This window comes from Homo sapiens, chromosome 18 (assembly GCF_000001405.40).
Source record: "Homo sapiens chromosome 18, GRCh38.p14 Primary Assembly".
NCBI lineage: Eukaryota > Metazoa > Chordata > Mammalia > Primates > Hominidae > Homo > Homo sapiens.
In genome coordinates, this window is record NC_000018.10 from 5,482,404 (window position 1) to 5,501,147 (window position 18,744).

General features: G+C 38.9%; 1 protein-coding gene across 61 annotated transcripts in view; it reads right to left on the bottom strand.

The window, feature by feature from the left end:
- EPB41L3 (erythrocyte membrane protein band 4.1 like 3) overlaps window positions 1-18,744 on the bottom strand; it is a 238,278-nt gene that overhangs the window by 90,018 nt on the left and 129,516 nt on the right. For 45 of the 61 annotated variants that reach the window (XM_047437382.1, NM_001384696.1, NM_001384692.1 and 42 more), the window contains one exon: window positions 6,598-6,791. In XM_047437382.1, the coding sequence (XP_047293338.1) occupies window positions 6,598-6,780 (183 nt within the window). In that variant the 5' untranslated portion in view covers window positions 6,781-6,791. Of the gene's footprint in view, window positions 1-6,597; window positions 6,792-18,744 lie in introns of those variants that run through there. The other 16 variants (NM_001384702.1, NM_001384706.1, NM_001384705.1 and 13 more) reach the window with 1 other exon arrangement.

The window sequence follows — 18,744 nt, forward strand, 5'->3', positions numbered from 1 at the left end:
GGAGGCAGCTCAGCAAGAGCAAAGGGTAGAAAGCATATTCAAAGAAATAATCACAGGAAACTTTCCAAAACTCGTGAAAGATATAAATATTCAAGTACAGGGAAGTCTGAGAACATCACACAGATTCAACCTAAATAAGAATACCACAAAGCAATAAACTCTCAAAGCTCAAGAACAAAGACAGAACCCTAAAAGCAGCAAGAGAAAAAGAAACAAATAACAGGTAAAGGAGCTCCAAATTGCCTGGTAACAGAATTCTCAACAGAAAACCCACACAGGCCAGGAAAGAGTGGACTGACATTTTTAAAGTGCTCAAAGAAAAAAACTGTCATCTAAGAATATTGCATCCAACAAAATTATCATTCAAATATAAAGGAGAGATCAAATCTTTCCCGAAAGAACAAAAGCAGAGAGAATTCACCACCACCAGACCCATCTTAAAAGAAATGCTAAAGAGAGTTCTTCAATCTGAAATAAAAAACCACTAATGTGCAAAAAATAAAAATGAACCTTTCAATGTATCAAACCTAGTGGTAAAATCAAGTACATGGATAAACCCAGAATACTCTATTACTGTACTTACTGTACTTGCAGTGTACAATGTACTACTAGTACTACCACAATCATAACTCTAGTATGAAGCCCAAAAGACAACCTATCAAAAACAATAATACCTACAGCAACCAGTGAAGGGATAGGTAATATTAAAATATGCAAATTGAGACAACTAAGTCAAAATGTAATGGGGATGGAGTTAAAGTATAGAATTGGGGTGTGTGTGTATGTGCGTGCATGTGTGTATGTGTAGTTTTTTTTAGCCTTTGTTTCTGTTTTTAAATTTGTGATCTAAGATAAGTTGTCATTTGTTTAAAATAACTTGCTGTATCTATAAGATGTTTCTGGTAAGCCTCATAGTAACCACAACACAAAAACCTATAATAGATCCACTAAAAATAAAAAGCAACATATTAAAACACATTACCAGAGAAAATCACTTAGCCACAAAGGAAAACCATGTAAAAAAGAACAAGAGGAGTTTCAACCAGAAACAGGCAGCAAAACAGCAGTAATAAGTCCTTATCAATAACACTGAATGTAAATGGTCTCAATTCTCCAATTAAAAGGCCTAAAGTAGGTAAATGGATATAAAAACAAGAACCAACTATATGTTAGCTTCAAGAAATTCACTTCACCCACACAGACTGAAAGTAAAAAGGTGGAAAAAAAAACCATTCTATACAACTAGAAGCCAAAAAAAGAGCAGATGTAGCTATACTTATATAAGAGAGACTAACAAATCTAAGACTAAAATGAGAAAAAGCAGGTCACTACATAATGATAAAGGGGACAATTCAGCAAGAAGATGAAACAATTACAAATATCTATGCACCTAACACCAGAGTTCCCAAGTATATAAAACATTCGTAAATCTAAAGGGAGAAACAGACGGCAGTACAATAATGGTAGGGGACTTCAACACTCCACTCTCAGTAAGGGACAGAACATCCAGACAGAAAATCAACAAAGAAACAGTGGAGTTAAACTACACACTAGATCTAACAGGCCTAACCAACATTTACACATTTCACCCAACTGCTGCAGAATACATTCTTTTCATCAGCACATGGAACACTGTCCAGAACAGACCATGTCTTAGGCTATAAAACAAGTCCAAACAAACTCAAAAAAAAAAAAAAAAAAAAAAAAAAAAAAAAAAACAGAAAAAAAAAATCATATCAAGTATCTTTCCTGACCACAATGGAATAAAACTAGAAATCAGTAAGAGGAACCTCAGAAAATACACAAACACATGGAAATTAAACAACATGCCCTGAATGACCAACGAGTCAGTGAAGAAACTAAGAAGTTAAAAAAAAAATTATCAAAACACAAGTGAAAATGTAAATACAAGATAAAAAATCTGTGGGCTATAACAAAAGCAGTACTAAGAGGGAAGTGGAGAGCAATAAACGTCTATATCAAAAAAGTAAAAAGCCTTCAAATAAATAACTCAACGATGCACCTCAAGGGACTAGAAAAGCAGGAATGAACCAAACCCCAAATTAGGAAAAAAAGAAATGATGATGATCAGAGCAGAAATAAATGAAATTGAGATAAAAAAAAAATACAGAAGATCAACAAAACAATGAGTTGGTTTTTTGAACAGATAAACAAAATAGACAAACCTTTAGCTAGACTAAGAAAAAGAGAGAAAATCCAAGTAAATAAAATCAGACATGAAAAAGGAGACATAGCAACTGGGACCTAAGAAATATGAAGACTCATTAGCGACTATTATGAACAACTATATGGCAACAGATTGGAAAACCCAGAAGAAACGGATAAATTTCTAGACACATACAACTCACCAAGAATGAACTATGAAGAAACAGAAAACCTCAACAAAATAGTCATGAGTAATGAGATCAAAGCTATAATAAAAAGTCTTCTATCAAAAAAAGCCCAAGACCTGAAGGCTTCATTTGAATTCTATCAAACATGTAAAGAAAACTAATACTGATCCTACTTAAACTCTTCAAAAAAAAAAAATTGGAGAGGAGGGAATACTTCCAAACTCATGCTACAAGGTCAATATTACTCTGATACCAAAAGCAGACAAAGATACAACACAAACAAAACCTACAGGCCAATATCACTGATGAACATTAATGCAAAAATCCTCAGTGAAATACTAGCAAACCGAATTCAACAATACATTAAAAAGGGGACTGAAAAGATCATTCACCATGATTAAATGTGATTCATCCTAGGGATGCAGATGGTTAAACATACAAAAATCAATAAACATGATACATCACATTAACAGAATCAAGAACAAAAACCATATGATTATTTCAATAGATGTCAAAAAAGCATTTGATAAAATTCAACATGTCTTTATGATTAAAAATCCTCATCAAAATCAGTATAGAAGAACATACCCCGAAATAATACACACCATATATGAAAAACCCAAATTAGCATTGTATTGAATTGTGAAAAACTGAAGGCCTTTCCTCTAAGGACTAGAACAAGTAAAGGATGCCCACTTTCAGTATTATACAACATAATACTGGAAGTCCTGGCTGGCACAATTGGGCAAAAGAAAGAAATAAAGGGCATCCAAACTGAAAAGAAAGAAGTCAACTTAGTCTTGTTCACAGAAGACATAATTTTATACCTAGAAAACCCTAAAGACTCCACCAAAAAACTGTGAGAACTGATAGATGAATTCAGTGAAATTGTAGAATTTATCAACATACAAAAATCAGTAGTGTTTAAATTTGTCAATGGTAAACTATCTGAAAAAGATATCAAGAAGCAATCCTATTTACAATAGCTACAAAATATAAAATACCTAGGAAGCAATCTAACCAAAGAAGTGAAAGATCGGTGTAAGGAAAACTATAAAACTCTGATGAAAGAAATTGAAGAGAATGCAAAAAATGGAAAGATATTCCATGCTCATGGATTAGAAGACTTAATACTGTTAAAATGGCAATACTACCCAAAGTAATTTACAAATTCAATGTAAATTGAATGTAACAAAATACCTATGACACTCTTCACAGAATTAGAAAAAATGTCCTCAAATTTACATGGAACTACAAAAGACCCCGAATAGCCAAAGTCATCCTGACTAAAAAGAACAAAGCTGGAGGTATCATACTACCTGACTTCAAAATTTACTACAAAGCTATAATAATCAAAACAGCATGGTACTGGCATAAAAATAGATACATAAACCAATGGAACAGAATAGAGAATCCAGATATAAATCCTCACATACAGCCAACTCATCTTTGACAAAGGTGCCAAGAACATTCAATAGAGAACAGTCCTTTCAGTAAAGGGTGTAGGGAAAACTGGATAACTGTATGAGACCAATGAAATTAGACCCCTATTTCTCACCATCCACAGAAATCAAATAAAAATGGATTAAAGAATTAAAAATGTAAGACCTGTAACTATGAAACCACTAGAAGAAAACACTGAGGAAATGCTCCAGGAGGTTGGTCTGAGCAAAGTTTTTTTTGTGTATAAGACTTCAAAAGCATAGGTAATCAAAACAAAAATAGACAAATGGGATTACATGCAGCCAAAAAACTACTGTACCACAAAGGAAAAAATTAACAAAGAGCCTACAGGATAGTAGAAAAAATTTGCAAAGTGTCTACCTGACAAGGGATTATTAACCACAATATCTAAGGAACTCAAACAACTCAATAGCAAGAGAAATGAGATTTAAAAATTGACAAAAGATCTGAACAGATATTTCTCAAAAGAAGACACACAAATGGCCAACAGGTATATGAAAAAATGCTCAATATCACTAATTATCAGAGAAATGCAAATCAAGACCACAATTGAGATATCATCTCACCCCAGTTAAAATGGCATATATCAAAAAGACAGGCAGTAATAGATGCTGGCAAGGATGTGGGGAAAGGAGAATCCTCATAAACTGCTAGTGGAAATGTAAATTCATACAGCCACTGTGAAAAACAGTATGGAGGTTCCTTGAAAACTAAAAATAGAACTATCATATGATCCAGCAATTCCATTACTGGATATATGTCCAGAAGAAAGGAAATCAATATATAGAAAAGCCATCTGCACTCCAGTGTTTACTGCAGCACTATTCATAGCAGCCAAAATATGAAATCAACCTAAGTGCCCATCAACAGAAGAATGAATTTTTAGAAAGTGGTATATACACCCAATGAAATATTATTCAGCCATAAAAAAGGAATGAAATCTTGTCATCTGCACCAACACGGATGGAACTACAGGCTGTTACGTTAAGTGAAATAAGCCAAGCACCAAAAGACAAATACTGCATCTTCTCACTCATATGTGGGGGCTAAAATGGAATCTCATGAAGATGGGGAGTAGAATGGTGATTACGTGAGGCTGGGAAGGATAGGGAGGATGGTAGGGAGGAGGAGTGATGAAGGGAATTTTTAAAAAATATACATATATACAAAATATAATATATATATTTTTTATATAAAAATATAAATGTACTTATTACCACTGAACTGTACACTTAAAAAAGATAGTAAGTTTTATTTGTATATTTTACCTCAAATTTTTTTTTTTTTTGAGACAGAGTCTTGCTCTGTCGCCCAGTCTGGAGGGCAGTGGTGTAATCTCGGCTCACTGAAATCTCCACTTCCTGGGTTCAAGTGATTCTCGTGCCTCAGCCTCCCTAACAGCTGGGATTACAGACGTGCACCACCACACTCAGCTAATTTTTGTATTGGGCCCGGCTGTCTCAAACTCCTGACCTCAGGTGATCCGCCCTCCTAAGCCTCCCAAAAGTCCTGGGATTACAGGCATGAGCCACTGAGCCCGGCCTCAAATTTTTAATAAGTATAAAATTGAAAAAAAAAAAAGGCAAACCTGCAAATACTCTAGGTAAAGAAATAAAATAATCAGGTTGCAAATATACAGTTTAATGCTGTGACTTCCAAAGATTTTCACTAATATGCTGATTATATCTCTTATCTCAACATCTTAGAATTTCTAGTTTGAAACACTTCTGACATATAAGAGGCCAATCACTTGTGGGGACTCCAGATTGCTTTACCACATACAAATCGGCACTCTAAAACATTTTGATTCCAAGTTTGAAGTTTTAAGACAAAAGACATTTAAATATGGACTTATTCAAGGCCCACATGTAAAACCATACTTTAAAACTTTTAAAAGTAATGCATTATTCCTGACTACTCAAACATGTACAGGGAAAAAGAGTTGAAAATGTAGATGTGTATAGGGAGGGAAAGACCTACCTGAAGATCCACTAAGAAACCATGGAATACTATGCAGCTATAAAAAAGGATGAGTTCATGTCCTTTTCAGGACATGGATGGAAACCATCATTCTTAGCAAACTAACACAGGAACAGAAAACCAAACACCGCATGTTCTCACTCATAAGTGGGAGTCGAACAATGAGAACACATGGACGTAGGGAGGGGAACATCACACACTGGGGCCTGTCGGGGACTGGGGGGCTAGGGGAGGGATAGCATTAGGAGAAATACCTAATGTAGATGATGGATTGATGGGTGCAGCAAACCACCATGGCACGTGTATACCTATGTAACAAACCTGCACGTTCTGCACATGTGTCCCAGAGCTTAAAGTATAATAATAATGATGATGATGATGATAATAATAATAATAATAATAATAAAAGCAGATCTGCAATATTAGGGCCAGGGTGATGCCTGGGGAAATGCAAACTCACTCTAGCCCTTAGACTTGAAAGAAAAAGCAACCACAAGCATAATTAAAGCTCTCAGTTTGGTGTCTATCTTTCCTCTAAATCCAGATAGGACCAATAATCTCCAGTCTGGACTTCAGTGAGTTTCAGTGTTTTAATTAAAAGAAGGAGTTACCAAGCAAGGTTGTGGAATGTCATTCACTGAAAGCCTTAAAATAGCATACATTTTCATCTGCCTGGGGCTAGAAGGGGAACAGCAGATGACCCCTCATAGCTGCCTCTAGGGCTAAGAGACCAAGGTTAAAGCCGATCCTGGAGCAGCTCAGCAAACACTGCGTCATTAGTTTTCTGGCCTGGGCTCACCTCCCTCCGCACCGGGGTGCTGTGCGCTGCAGCGGCGGCGAACTGCTCCAGGGCCTGCTGCTGCTCCTCCTTGGGCGGCTCCGGCACGGGCGCCCCCGCGCGCCCCTGCGCCCCCGCCGCCTCCTGGGGCTCGGCCTCCTGGTCCGGCTTGGATTCCGAGTCTGATCCAGATTCGGTCGTCATGGTTGATTGTTCTGCAAGCAGAAAAAAGGGAAGAGCAGGTCACTCCGTGCCACTACCTTCCCTCTGCAAGAAAACTAGGATGCTCACCGTGAAAGGCTCAAGAGAACCACAGAGAGGGAGATGCTACCAAACCCCATCCTATTCCACACACTGGACAGATGACTTGTCAACTTCACCACTGAGATGGGTGCCCACCAGGCACTCAAAACTAACATTTATCTAGGAGGAAAAGTTGATCTGTAATGATCACAGGCTTTATTCCTATTAGATTTTTGCCACAACGGATTGTTAAATGACATTAAAGAAATGTCATAATAATTAAATATCTTACATTCAATTAAAAAAATTTGCTGTATCACCTGCATATATATTTCAATCCCTTGGAAGGATGATTTAATAACGGAAGCAGACATTCTTTCTCATTTCCCTCCCCCTTCCTATCTCTATACAGGGGCCCTCCCAACCCCCTGAATCTACAGATACTTCAAGGAACAAATGCCTTTCCCATGTGATTTCTCTTAATCCAGTTATCCCTCTTTGAGTTAGCAACTGAGCTACAACAGCAGCTTCTTCAGGGACTCGGGATCTGTCCCACTGGCCATAGCTGCAGGGGCACAGGCAGGATCACCTCTCCTTCCCTCCCAAGTTAATTCTCATCTTCTTCCTGGCTTCCCCCTATTTCCATTGAGTGTTGAAAGGTAAATTTATCTCATATCTCATAGGGAACTCAAACAACAGATCTTAATATATAATAATCTGCTGATACATCCTTTAAAAAGACCTTCTAAAATATGAACATCTTCCCAAAGATTGCAAGTCAAGATGTTTCAGGATTTCGTGCCTCAGTTTCCACATGTGCCAAATGAGGACACTGAACGTGATAATACCTAAATAACTTATTTCTTGCTATTACATTTTTTTCTCCTACTAATAAGATATGCCACAATGTTTTTAAAGCAGATTTTTGCTCTAAGCAGCAAGAGAGCTGCTATTACGCCAAGTAGATCCCATGTCATTTTAAGCAATTACTTACCTTAGGTATATGGAGTAAGTATCTCAAGTACAAATATCTCATTATTGTCATACAATTTCCCTTCCTAATTATAATTTTATAGTAAAAGTATGAGCAAAGGACTAGTGTAGTGCTTTAGGCAAATTATATAATTGGTATAATATAGAATTGTGCAAAAATAAAACTAGTAACTCTTAGTTCCTATCTTCACAATATATATAAAAATATGTTTAATAATTTGAAGAAAAGGGAGCATCACAAATACCAATCTAGGTTATAAACTAAATGCTATATCTGGGTTTTCTATTTAGGGTTACTTTCACAATCACCAGATATTCTTTCTGTTGAATAAAAGAGACATATCAATTTGGCATGTGCTTAGTTGCCCAAAGCATATATAAATATCGAGTCTGAATACAGAGAAAGGTAGTGATGCAAATAAAATGAACAGACTTTCTTTTTTCCTGTTATAATACATTTTAGATTTTCGAGCAAATCTTAAAAGTAAATATTATATTTTCTTTTGTATGCTTATCCTGGAAAGTGGCATAAATATATAGAGAAAACAGTAGAGGAGGAGGAAAGGTTGTGGAGGGCTGCAGAATTTAGAGCTTCTGATCAAACTCCATCTTTTGGAAGGGAAAGGATTAGCTTTAATAGTCAATTCAACCCACCAAACACTTACTGAGTACCAAATATAAGCCAAGCACTGCTTGTGGTTTAGAAACAGAGATTCATCTGTTGTAACCACTACCCCCCATCTCAAGGAGCTCCTAGTCTGTGCCGGAAATATGCTCTCTGGAATCCATTTTCTTCATCTTCTTTTGGTAACTAAGCTTTCAGATCTAGCAGGTGCCTCTGCACCCAGCCTGAGACTACAATGAGCTGTGGCTGTGGATTAAGACTGGACCAAGGAGACAACAGAAGAAAAATGCACTCAATGTTTAGGTCATCTTCATAAAGACAAAGCCACTCACCCTAGATTTCCCTTTCCCACTGGCTGGATGTGCAGGTCTTAAACCCAGTCCTGGACATGTCACATTCAGGGGAATGACAGAGCCACCCCTTCCAGCACGGGTCTCTGGATGACCTCATGGACCATGACCCACCTACTCTGGACTGTGACGTAAGGCAGAAATCAACAACTTTAGCTTGTGTTCATTTGCTCAGGAAATTGCTTATTCTATTTCCTGAGCAAATGAATATCCCATGATTTTAGTGTTATCAGCCTAGTCGGGAAACCGTTTTGCACCTGCTTTTGTCTTAAATCCAGGACCATCACCAAAGCAGAGAGCCAGCAGTACACAAGCTAAATAAAAATGTAAAATGGATAGAGCCCAACAACCACCTACCAACAATCTAAAGAATAAAATAATGTACCATTACCATCTATGACTGTACCATATAATACCTTACCTGTTGTATATCACACAACTCACAGCAGCTCATACCTCAAAATCATCTACTATGCCCTTGTCATATATTTCCTAGGTATATTAATTTTCCAGCACTATAGGCATAATATAATAAATGCAAATTGTTGCCATTTTGGCCACTTTTAATAAAATAAAACTGTCAAGGCTACTGAGAGATAAAGTAATAAAACTTTAAAATGTACGTCTTTTTTAATGCTGGAATCTCACTAGAATCAATATCTAATTCCACATTTCTCAAAGGACATAAGCTCTTATTATTCCTACAAATAAACCAGTATGGATGGCCTAGATCAGCAAATTCTATTTCAAAACTTGTTTCCTCTTCCCCACCCATATACCAATGTAAGCAAGCAATAACCTGATTTTTAATGGCAAACTAATATCAACATCTAAATACAATATGTCTGGCTGGGCGCAGTGGCTTACACCTGTAATCCCAGGACTTTGGGAGGCCGAGGCGGGTGGATCACTTGAGGTAAGGAGTTCAGGACCAGCCTGAACAACATGGTAAAACCCTGTCTCTACTAAAAATACAAAAATTAACCAGGCGTGGTGGTGCTTGCCTGTAATCCTAGCTACTAGGAAGGCTGAGGCACAAGAATTGCTTGAACCTAGGAGGCAGAATTTGCAGTGAGCCGAGATTGCACCACTGCACTCCAGCCTGGGTGACACAGAGAGACTCGGTCTCAAAAAAATAAATACAATACAATATAATATGCCTAACTTTAACTCGTTATTTTAATAAGCTTTTAGTGTTCTCCTTCACTCTTAAACCCAAATGCCAAAACATTTCTTTTAAACTAGATTTTCAAGATATTTACATTGCTTTGGTTCTTTTTCTTATACTCATTCCTTGCTTTCTAGGATGGTGCTGCCATTTAAAATCACAGCTTTCCCTTTCCAACTAACTAAAGACTATTGTTTTCCAAGGTTCCCTTCTCTTCTGATAGGTTCACTTTGCACGAAACTATCTGCCAATTATTTGGGTTACTGGAAGCAAACATCATCACTTGAAATCCCAAACAGAAAGTGAGACAAAATGTATTTATGCTTAGTTTTGACTGAAACTGTCCTTTCCTTATACTAAATTTACCTTAAAATTGTGTTTTGCTCAGGCTTTAAAGGTTTGGATTCCTGGAAACTCCAAATCCTAAAAGTTGGGGTAAGGACATTCATAAGTATGCTAGGCAGATGGCAAGAGGAGTCCTTAATTTTTTTTTAAAGAAACGTAAATCATATTTCAATATCCCTCTCTCAGGAATATATTTATTAAATGAACACCAAAAGAAATGGTAATGAGCTTCAAAGGATGCATGTGCAGGTGTGAATGAAATCATCTTCACAATCCCCAATCTAATTCACCTATAAAAAGACGGTCATTGCCATGCATTTTGGGCTTTGTTCCTTTTCAGCTCTAATTTTTTATTCCACAGAAGCAAGAAAAAAAAGTCAGTTAATCCTCATCTTTTCCACTTTTAGAAGTGGCAGCTCTAAAATCTCCATCTCCTAACTAAATGACTGCTAAATTAGTTTCTGTATTCAAATTTATCTACCTCTCTTGCTGACATAAAAATTCAGTGGCATTTTATGAAAAGACACAAACTAAAGATTTAGTGAAGGAAAATGCTTAATATAAATTTCTGTCATTTATGTGTAAGACAGGATTCCTACAGAATAACAAAGCATTTCATAAAAGAAAACGTCTTCGTACCATTTACCTGTCTAACGAGTATATAGGACTCAAATGGACAAACTTTTTAACATCAACCTTTTTTTCTTTTATATTTCAAGTGTAAATTTATAGGAGAAGTGGGTCTTACTTAACATAAGTATTTGTGACTATAGAGTACTATCCACCAGTCTGCTAAAAACCATCAGTTGCTAGCAAACTAGAAGACAGTAATATTCTTTGGCCCTTCTACTGAATTTTTTCTATTTGCATGAAAAAAAAATGCCCTAGTATCATCCATCCAAAAAGAAAATCCCAAAAAGAAACCAAAACAACCTGCTGTTGGTCTCACTTTCCACTCTCCTACTCCCTCTAGTAGGGCCCTACCTCTCTACTTTTCTGTGGTGCCAAGCTTCTGGAAGGAATTTTCTTCTCATGCTGTCACCACATCCTCCCACTCACTCACACTTCAGTATATTCCTCATAATTCTAGTAACTTCGCTAAGGTGACCATGACCTCCCCACAAGCCAGTCAATCCTAGGTGGCACCCCTCCTCATCTTTCAGTTCTCCAGGTTTGACACCCTCTTGGTTTCCTTCTATCTTTTCTGGCTACTCTTCCTCATTTCCACTTGTCTCTGCATATCCCATTTCTCATATTCTATTTCTAAACTTCACAATTCTTTACAAATCCATCTCACTCTTTAAATTCTCTTTCTTGGAGAGCTCATCCACTTCATTTCAAATACAATGACAATTCCAAATTTTGTGACCTCTCACTGAGCTTCAGATCCATAAATACAACTCTTCTTCTCACTTCTTTACCTGGATATCTCAGAAGCACCTAAAACCGAACATTTTTCCATCCAAACCTTTGATCTCTGCACCACCCCCTGCCTGCTGCCAACCCCCCAATCTGCTTGACTCCTGTCCTCCCCATTGCAGCAGGTGGCCTCCATCTGTCCAGAGGCTCATGCTGGGACTGGGACAGCACTTCCCTCCCTATGCCTAACTCCAATCCACCTCACTCTTGGCAATATCACCTCCTGAGTTGTGTTTAAAGAAACAGTAGAAGAGGCTGGGTGCAGTGGCTCACGCCTGTAATCCCAACACTTTGGAAGGCCAAGTCGGGTGGATCCTCTGAGGTCAGGAGTTCAAGACCAGCCTGGCCAACATGGCGAAACCCCATCTCTACTAAAAGTACAAAAATTAGCTGTGTATGCGGTGGGCACCTGTAACCCCACCTACTCGGGAGGCTGAGGCAGGAGAATCGCTTGAACCGGGGAGGCAGAGGTTGCAGTGAGCTGAGATGATGCCATTGCACTCCAGCCTGGGTGACAAGAGTGAAACTCCATCCACCCTCCCCCCACCCAAAAAAAAAAAGAAACAGTAAAAGAAAGAATGGAAAAAGTTCTAGGCAGAGGATTCCAATCAAGCAAAAGCAGAACAGCATGGAGGATCGCATGCACTTACTTGCGTGAGGTTACATGGTCTGATGTAGCAGGAAGGAAGGGGTGCGTGAGAGTGATGAGAGGTGAGGAAAAGGGATTGAGAGCGAGACGGACACAGGCAGGTCCTGCAAGGCCGCCTGACCCTCGCTAAGGAGACATCATCTTGTTACTCAGGGATCATCTGGCAGACATGGGAACCTCAGAAAGCATTAACTGGGCTTCTCCATTGTTTCAGCTCAAAGCTAGGCCAAACTCAGAGACCACACAGGCCCTGAAGGGGCAGCCGGGACAAGTTACTCCTCAAAGTACCAAATGGTAAAATTCAGGACTGGTCATTATTAAATATCTTCAAAAAGTTGACAATAAAGGGTTGAGATGCAGGGACAATTCTGATGGTTTGTAAAAAACAAGCTTTTTGGCCATGCTAAGTTCAAATCTTGAAGGCCAATACACCAGCTCCTGTGGAGCTGACTGACTTTTTAAGATTATGTAAGAAGCAGAAAGTCAGGATTTTTATGAAGACATAATAATTCAAAAATTAATCTCACAATGGCCACTGTAAATCTGCAAAGGGTTACCAAGATTCATCAATATGGAGACAAAGATTTCATAACAGAATTGCACATTTACAAATCAGTATTGGAAACTTAAAAAAAAAAAAAAAAAAACTAAATGAAACAGTAAGGCCACAGGCCCCAGTCCCCTGCTTCAAGGAATGCACATTCAGACAGGTTACCTCAAGAAGCAAGCCAAGCACCATGCCCAGGGTGTTGAGAACACAGCCCAGAGAGGGGGCTTTAACCAAGTCTGTGGGGACAGAAAGGATTTTCACAGGAAAGAACACTTGTCTGATTAAAAAAAAAAAAAATCACTAACTTTCAGTCTCAAGACAACTAGTTTTAAACTTTAGACACAAACATCACAGGCTACTTCAGAAAGATACAAGGGAAATCAGGAATAAATAAGAGCGCAGGGAGGCACTGTGACGGGGCAGGAAAAGTGGGTTCCGCGCCCAACTCTGCCATATGCTCTGTGACCTTAACAGAACGTGGCTTCCCTTTCTGTTCTAAAATTCCAAAATTCTAGGATTCCTGAGAACCAAAGACACTGTTATATTCACAGCAAGAAATCTAAAGAAATGTTGCGAAGTGAAGACAGATACTACCTGATCCTACTGACAAGGCCCAAGGGCATAAAGGTCTGAGGGCAGGCAGCCGCCAGCCCTGTAGCAAGCACAGACCTCTCCCACCACTGTGTGGGTCAGGCTGAAGGCTTCATTAACTATTTGAGTCTATAAAGGTTTTATTTAGTTCACTGAAGCAATACTTTACACAGATAACCTGAAAAAGTTGAAAAAAACACTTAATAGATTGGGAAAATCTGGTTTATCTGCAGTAAGCTTTTAGCTTTTAAGTTCAAAAATGTTTAGATCTTCTATGCGTGAGCAGAAAAATCAACAAATATAGTTTAGAATATATAGAGAGAGATATGGTGACTATGGAAGCATCCACCTTACCACTATATGTTCATGTTTCCAAATCCAACAGGTACCAAATGCCAGCGCATAAATTTGCCTATGCTTCTGAAACACCAAGAATCTTTGGTTGATCCCACATGTACCCAAATACATTTTAATAAGCAAAGGAAGCAGCTGATGCCCCTACTCAAGGAAGGGGACCTATGTTAGCAGAGAACTTTAATAGAGTTCAGTGACAGTATTAATAGGAGAGGCAGGGTTCCCCTGGGGGCAAAACTACTTGCAAATTAAGTCTATTGAGGGAGTGGCAGAAGAACCAATTCAAATTCTGTTCTAGGATCTCTGCACTGTGAACACTCTGTCAAAAGCAAGGAAGTTCCCAGACTAGGATTCCTGAACTTCAGAGGTTCAGCAAAGGAGGCCTGATTATCTAAGATTTCGTTTTGCTATTTTAAAGGAAAGTGTACATTCAGCAGTGACATGGCTGTACACACTGACAAGGCTTTTTTGCTTTATGTTGGAAACTTATCAATTAACTTAGAAATACTGGCTACATCATTGCTTCATTCATTAATACATTCCTTTAACAAACATTTCCTGAACAGCTGTTTTGAGGCCTAGGGATACATCAGATAAAGATGAACAAGGTCTCTGCTGTAGTGGAGCCTACATTCTAATTGGAGGAGGAAAAGAAATAAAAAGTGTCAGAGATAGATGCTGTTAAATAACCCACTTAAAGGAAATAGCTGGCTGCTCTAGACTGGATGGTTAGGGAAGGCTTCTCCAAGAAGGAAAAATTTAACCAGTGTTGAAATATCAAGAAGAATCTGCCATATGCAGATACGCACAGTGGCGATAAAGCCTGTGAGGAAGATGATTGCCCAGGCTTGGGCAAGGAATGAAAAGAAGGCCAGGGTAGCTGGAATGCAGGGGGTGTGAGGAAGAGGGGTACAAGATAAGGTAGATATGAGGAGGGGTCAGATCCCATGGGTTTGCAGAGCTGGATTTTATTTTAAATGCAGTGGAGCATTCTGAGGTGAGGAATGATAGGGTCTTATGGATGCTTTTAAAAGGTCATTCTGGCTTCTGAGTGCAGGTGCAAGTAGGAGCAGGGGACCCAGTGACTAGGGGATGGCAACAGTCCAGGTGAGGGAAAATGCCAGAGCAAGGTAGCAGGTGAGGGAACGAAGGTAAGTGGTGCCTGTCCAGCACCCATCAGAAGCTCTCACTGCAGCTTTGGTGAGAGATGAGAAATGTACGAAGCTGGTAGGACAAAGCTCCCACAAGTGTTAGGTCTCTTAAAACACAGGGATCCCTAGTGGCAAAAATATTGTTTCCAATAGGCCCTAAGGCAGGGAGACTACCAACAAACAAGCGTCAAGTTTCAACAATTATTCTTCTAGACTGGATGCTCCATCACCTTTAACACGGGAAATCATTCATGAACCCGATATCATCAGCAATACTTCTAAAAATCATCCAGTTCAGGTGAAAAGTAATGCCTGCCTTCATTTATAATGGATATATTCCTGTGGTTTAAGTGACAGCTCCAGTCTTCCAAAAAAGCAAATTTAAAACAGATTAACATGAATATGTTTGGACTCTTGAGTAGAGAATGTGCTTCTAGACTTCATCTGAGAACCCAACTAATGGATAAATGACATCTGTACTTACACATTTGTTTCGACATAATTTGGCAGAGAATTTTAGTCTCCGTAAAATTTTAACGTGACTATCACTGATGCTGCCATTATCAGAAACTTGCTATTAAAGTTTCTATGTGGTCTGTACAAGAATTCTGTTAGTGCTATTAGTCTACACGTGAATCCTGCCTTGCCCTGGGTTGGACTTAGAACCACCTCACTAAGCACAGGGCAGTGTTTCCCAGAACATACTTAAACTTTTTCACTTGACAAGCATTTTCACATATTGTTCTAAACACAGCAGAAATACTTGTTCCCAAGATACAAAACTGCTAAAAAAAATTTTTCCAGGAGTTAACACAAATATTCCAATTGAGCTTCCTGATAGCTGTGCTTATAGCAGTTCATTAGTGTTCCCTATCATTAAAATGGAGTTCAGACGGCTGGGCGCCGTGGCTCACGCCTGTAATTCCAACACTTTGGGAGGCTGAGGCGGGTGGATCACCTGAGGTAAGAAGTTCAAGACTAGCCTGGCCAACATGGTGAAACCCCATCTCTACTAAAAATACAAATATCACCTGGGTGTGGTCACGGGCACCTGTAATCCCAGCTACTTGGGAGGCTGAGTAATGAGAATCACTTGAACCTGGGAGGTGGAGGTTGCAGTGAGCCGAGATAGCACCACTGAACTCCTGCCTGGGTAACAAGAGCGAGACTCCATCTCAAAAAAAAAAAAAAAAAGAAAATGGACTTCAGAACTGATGACATCATTTCCCTTAGCAAAGGCACCCTCACAACAGCATCCTTGAGGTTTTAAGCAAAAAAATCAAATCAAAGTGGACATTTCAGAGCATCAATGATATACATAAGAGCAAAAGTATTCAGCCCTTATGTTAAACCGAATCCTGGAAAGAGTGAGCGAATAAACTAAATATAGCAACTATTTTCTCCATTTTCTGTTAACCGTAAATCACCCTTTGTGAAGAAGAAACTGCCATTGTGCCCTCAATGTGCCAGGCATAATTTAAATACTGCATATTTGCTTCTTAACTAAACTTTAAACAAATCTGATCATATCCTCCCTAATGGTTCCCTAAAAGGAAAGTTGTGTCTAAAATGCACAGGATCTTCATGAGTTTGACAGAAATAATTCTCTATAAGCCATGTGTGATGGTGTGATTACTTTTTAGTTAAACAGGGATGACGCCTGAGAACATAAAGGAAGCTAGTCACTCGGAAGACACAGGTGGGGATGTTAGTTAGTCACCTCCCTCCTGCTCTCTACATGCTCAGCTCACCCCAACAGGACAGGGGTTCAGCCAGGTTAGTGAACAACTCGCCTAAGTCACAGGATAAGGAGCACAGCATCAAGAATTAAATCTGAGTTCTGCCTCCAATAACAGAGCTGTTTATCCCACACAAGTCATGTACATTGGTATGCGGTACTACTCTTCACCTCCTATTCCTCTTTCAGAACTGGGCAATTTATCAAAGGTATTGCTTTATGGGATCACCTACAGTTGCATGTTGCCAATATGCCACCTTATCCTTTTACTCACTGTAAGTCAAATATTAATCAATTCAAATTTTTGTAAAATTATACTTTGTTTTGGCTGGGTGCGGTGGCTCATACCTGTAATCCCAGCACTTTGAGGGGCCAATGTGGGTGGATCACGAGGTCAGGAGATCAAGACCATCCTGGCTAACACAGTGAAACCGTATCTCTACCAAAAAAAATACAAAAAAATTAGCCGGGCGTGGTGGCGGGCGCCTGTAGTCCCAGCTACTTGGAAGGCTGAGGCAGGACAATGGCGTGAACCTGGGAGGCGGAGCTTGCAGTGAGCCCAGATCGCACCACTGCACTCAAGCCTGGGCGACAGAGCAAGACTCTGTCTCAAAATAAAAAAAAAACTTTGTTTTAAAGACTATATTCCCTACTACATACTTACTATGTGTGTGTATATATATATATATATATGGCATTACAACACTAGTGTCTTCCTTTGCTGAAAAAGTTAATCTAGTGTGAATCTTTAAGATCCTGTCATTCTGTCACAGGTTGACATTTATTCCTGGGAAACAAAAAATAAACGCTCACTGTTGTTTCTACAGAAAACATGAATGGCACTGAGTCTGCTTTTCGAGGCTCAATAACTCATAACTTTCCACTATGGCGGCTTTAAGCTTTAAAACAGACTGAGCCTACATTTTAATCAGTTACGATTTTGAAGCTGTTATTAGTGGGAAACCTCAAATTGATAAGAAGTCAGTACCTTTCAAGATATAAATGTCCAACCCTGTTTAAAATTTCCAAGCATTCCTTTGCTAAAATCAAAAGAGGAGAGAGAAAAAGGTAGCATATTTTATCTATATTCTTCGCCAATTCTATTCAGAGAAGAACTTATTAGCAAAAAGATATCTTTGGCACCTTAATTCAGGAGCATATTTTTCTATTCCCCAACATCTGACTCTGCATCTGTGAGAAAGGAGGTGTGAACCACAGAGAGTGAATAAATTAAAACAGAGTCAGACTCTTTGTACAGTCATCCACCACCAAATAAGAGCTCTCCAACTCCTTCTGAAATGGGTCTCTCTTTCACAGAAACACTAATTTTAAAAATAGGGAAAAGGTTATGGCAAAAAACTCCAACTTTATGCCTTAGCGAGGGGGCAATATACTGTCTGCTATCTGGGGATATTTGGCCAAGAATCCACGATTCAGGTTTCGCTTTGTAGGTGCCAGTACCACGGGGTGAAGGACAGAGAGAACAACAAAAATGGCTGTCTCAAAATGACCTGGGCACAAATAATCCGTGCTTCTAATTCCCTGTCTGTCCAGGAGAATTTTACATACAAATAAGCCCTAAACAAATAATGAATGAATGAACAGTCTGTGTTTCTGCATCTCATGAATGTAACAGTACAGTACAGTACTTATTTCTAGGAGCCCTGTAAATTCAAACGAACAGCAGAACAAGGAGCTGCCCTGGACATTTTCTGTAACTGCACACATGTCTCAAGGCTTTTATCTCTGTGGTTACCTCCTAATGGTAAGCTTCATGCAGGTCCCCAAAACTAGTCACTGTAAGAACGTGTGGTGAGAACAAGAAAGAAAACAAAGGAGGGGGAGTAGGAACTTTTAGGGATCCAGGAAGACAAGCTGCCTGTAAATATTTGTATCTTGCCTTTTAAAGGAGTGCCAGGAGGTGAGTACTGAAGACTCACACAGCATGAATAATGTTTGATCAAATCAATAAAGAAATATGATAAAAAGCCA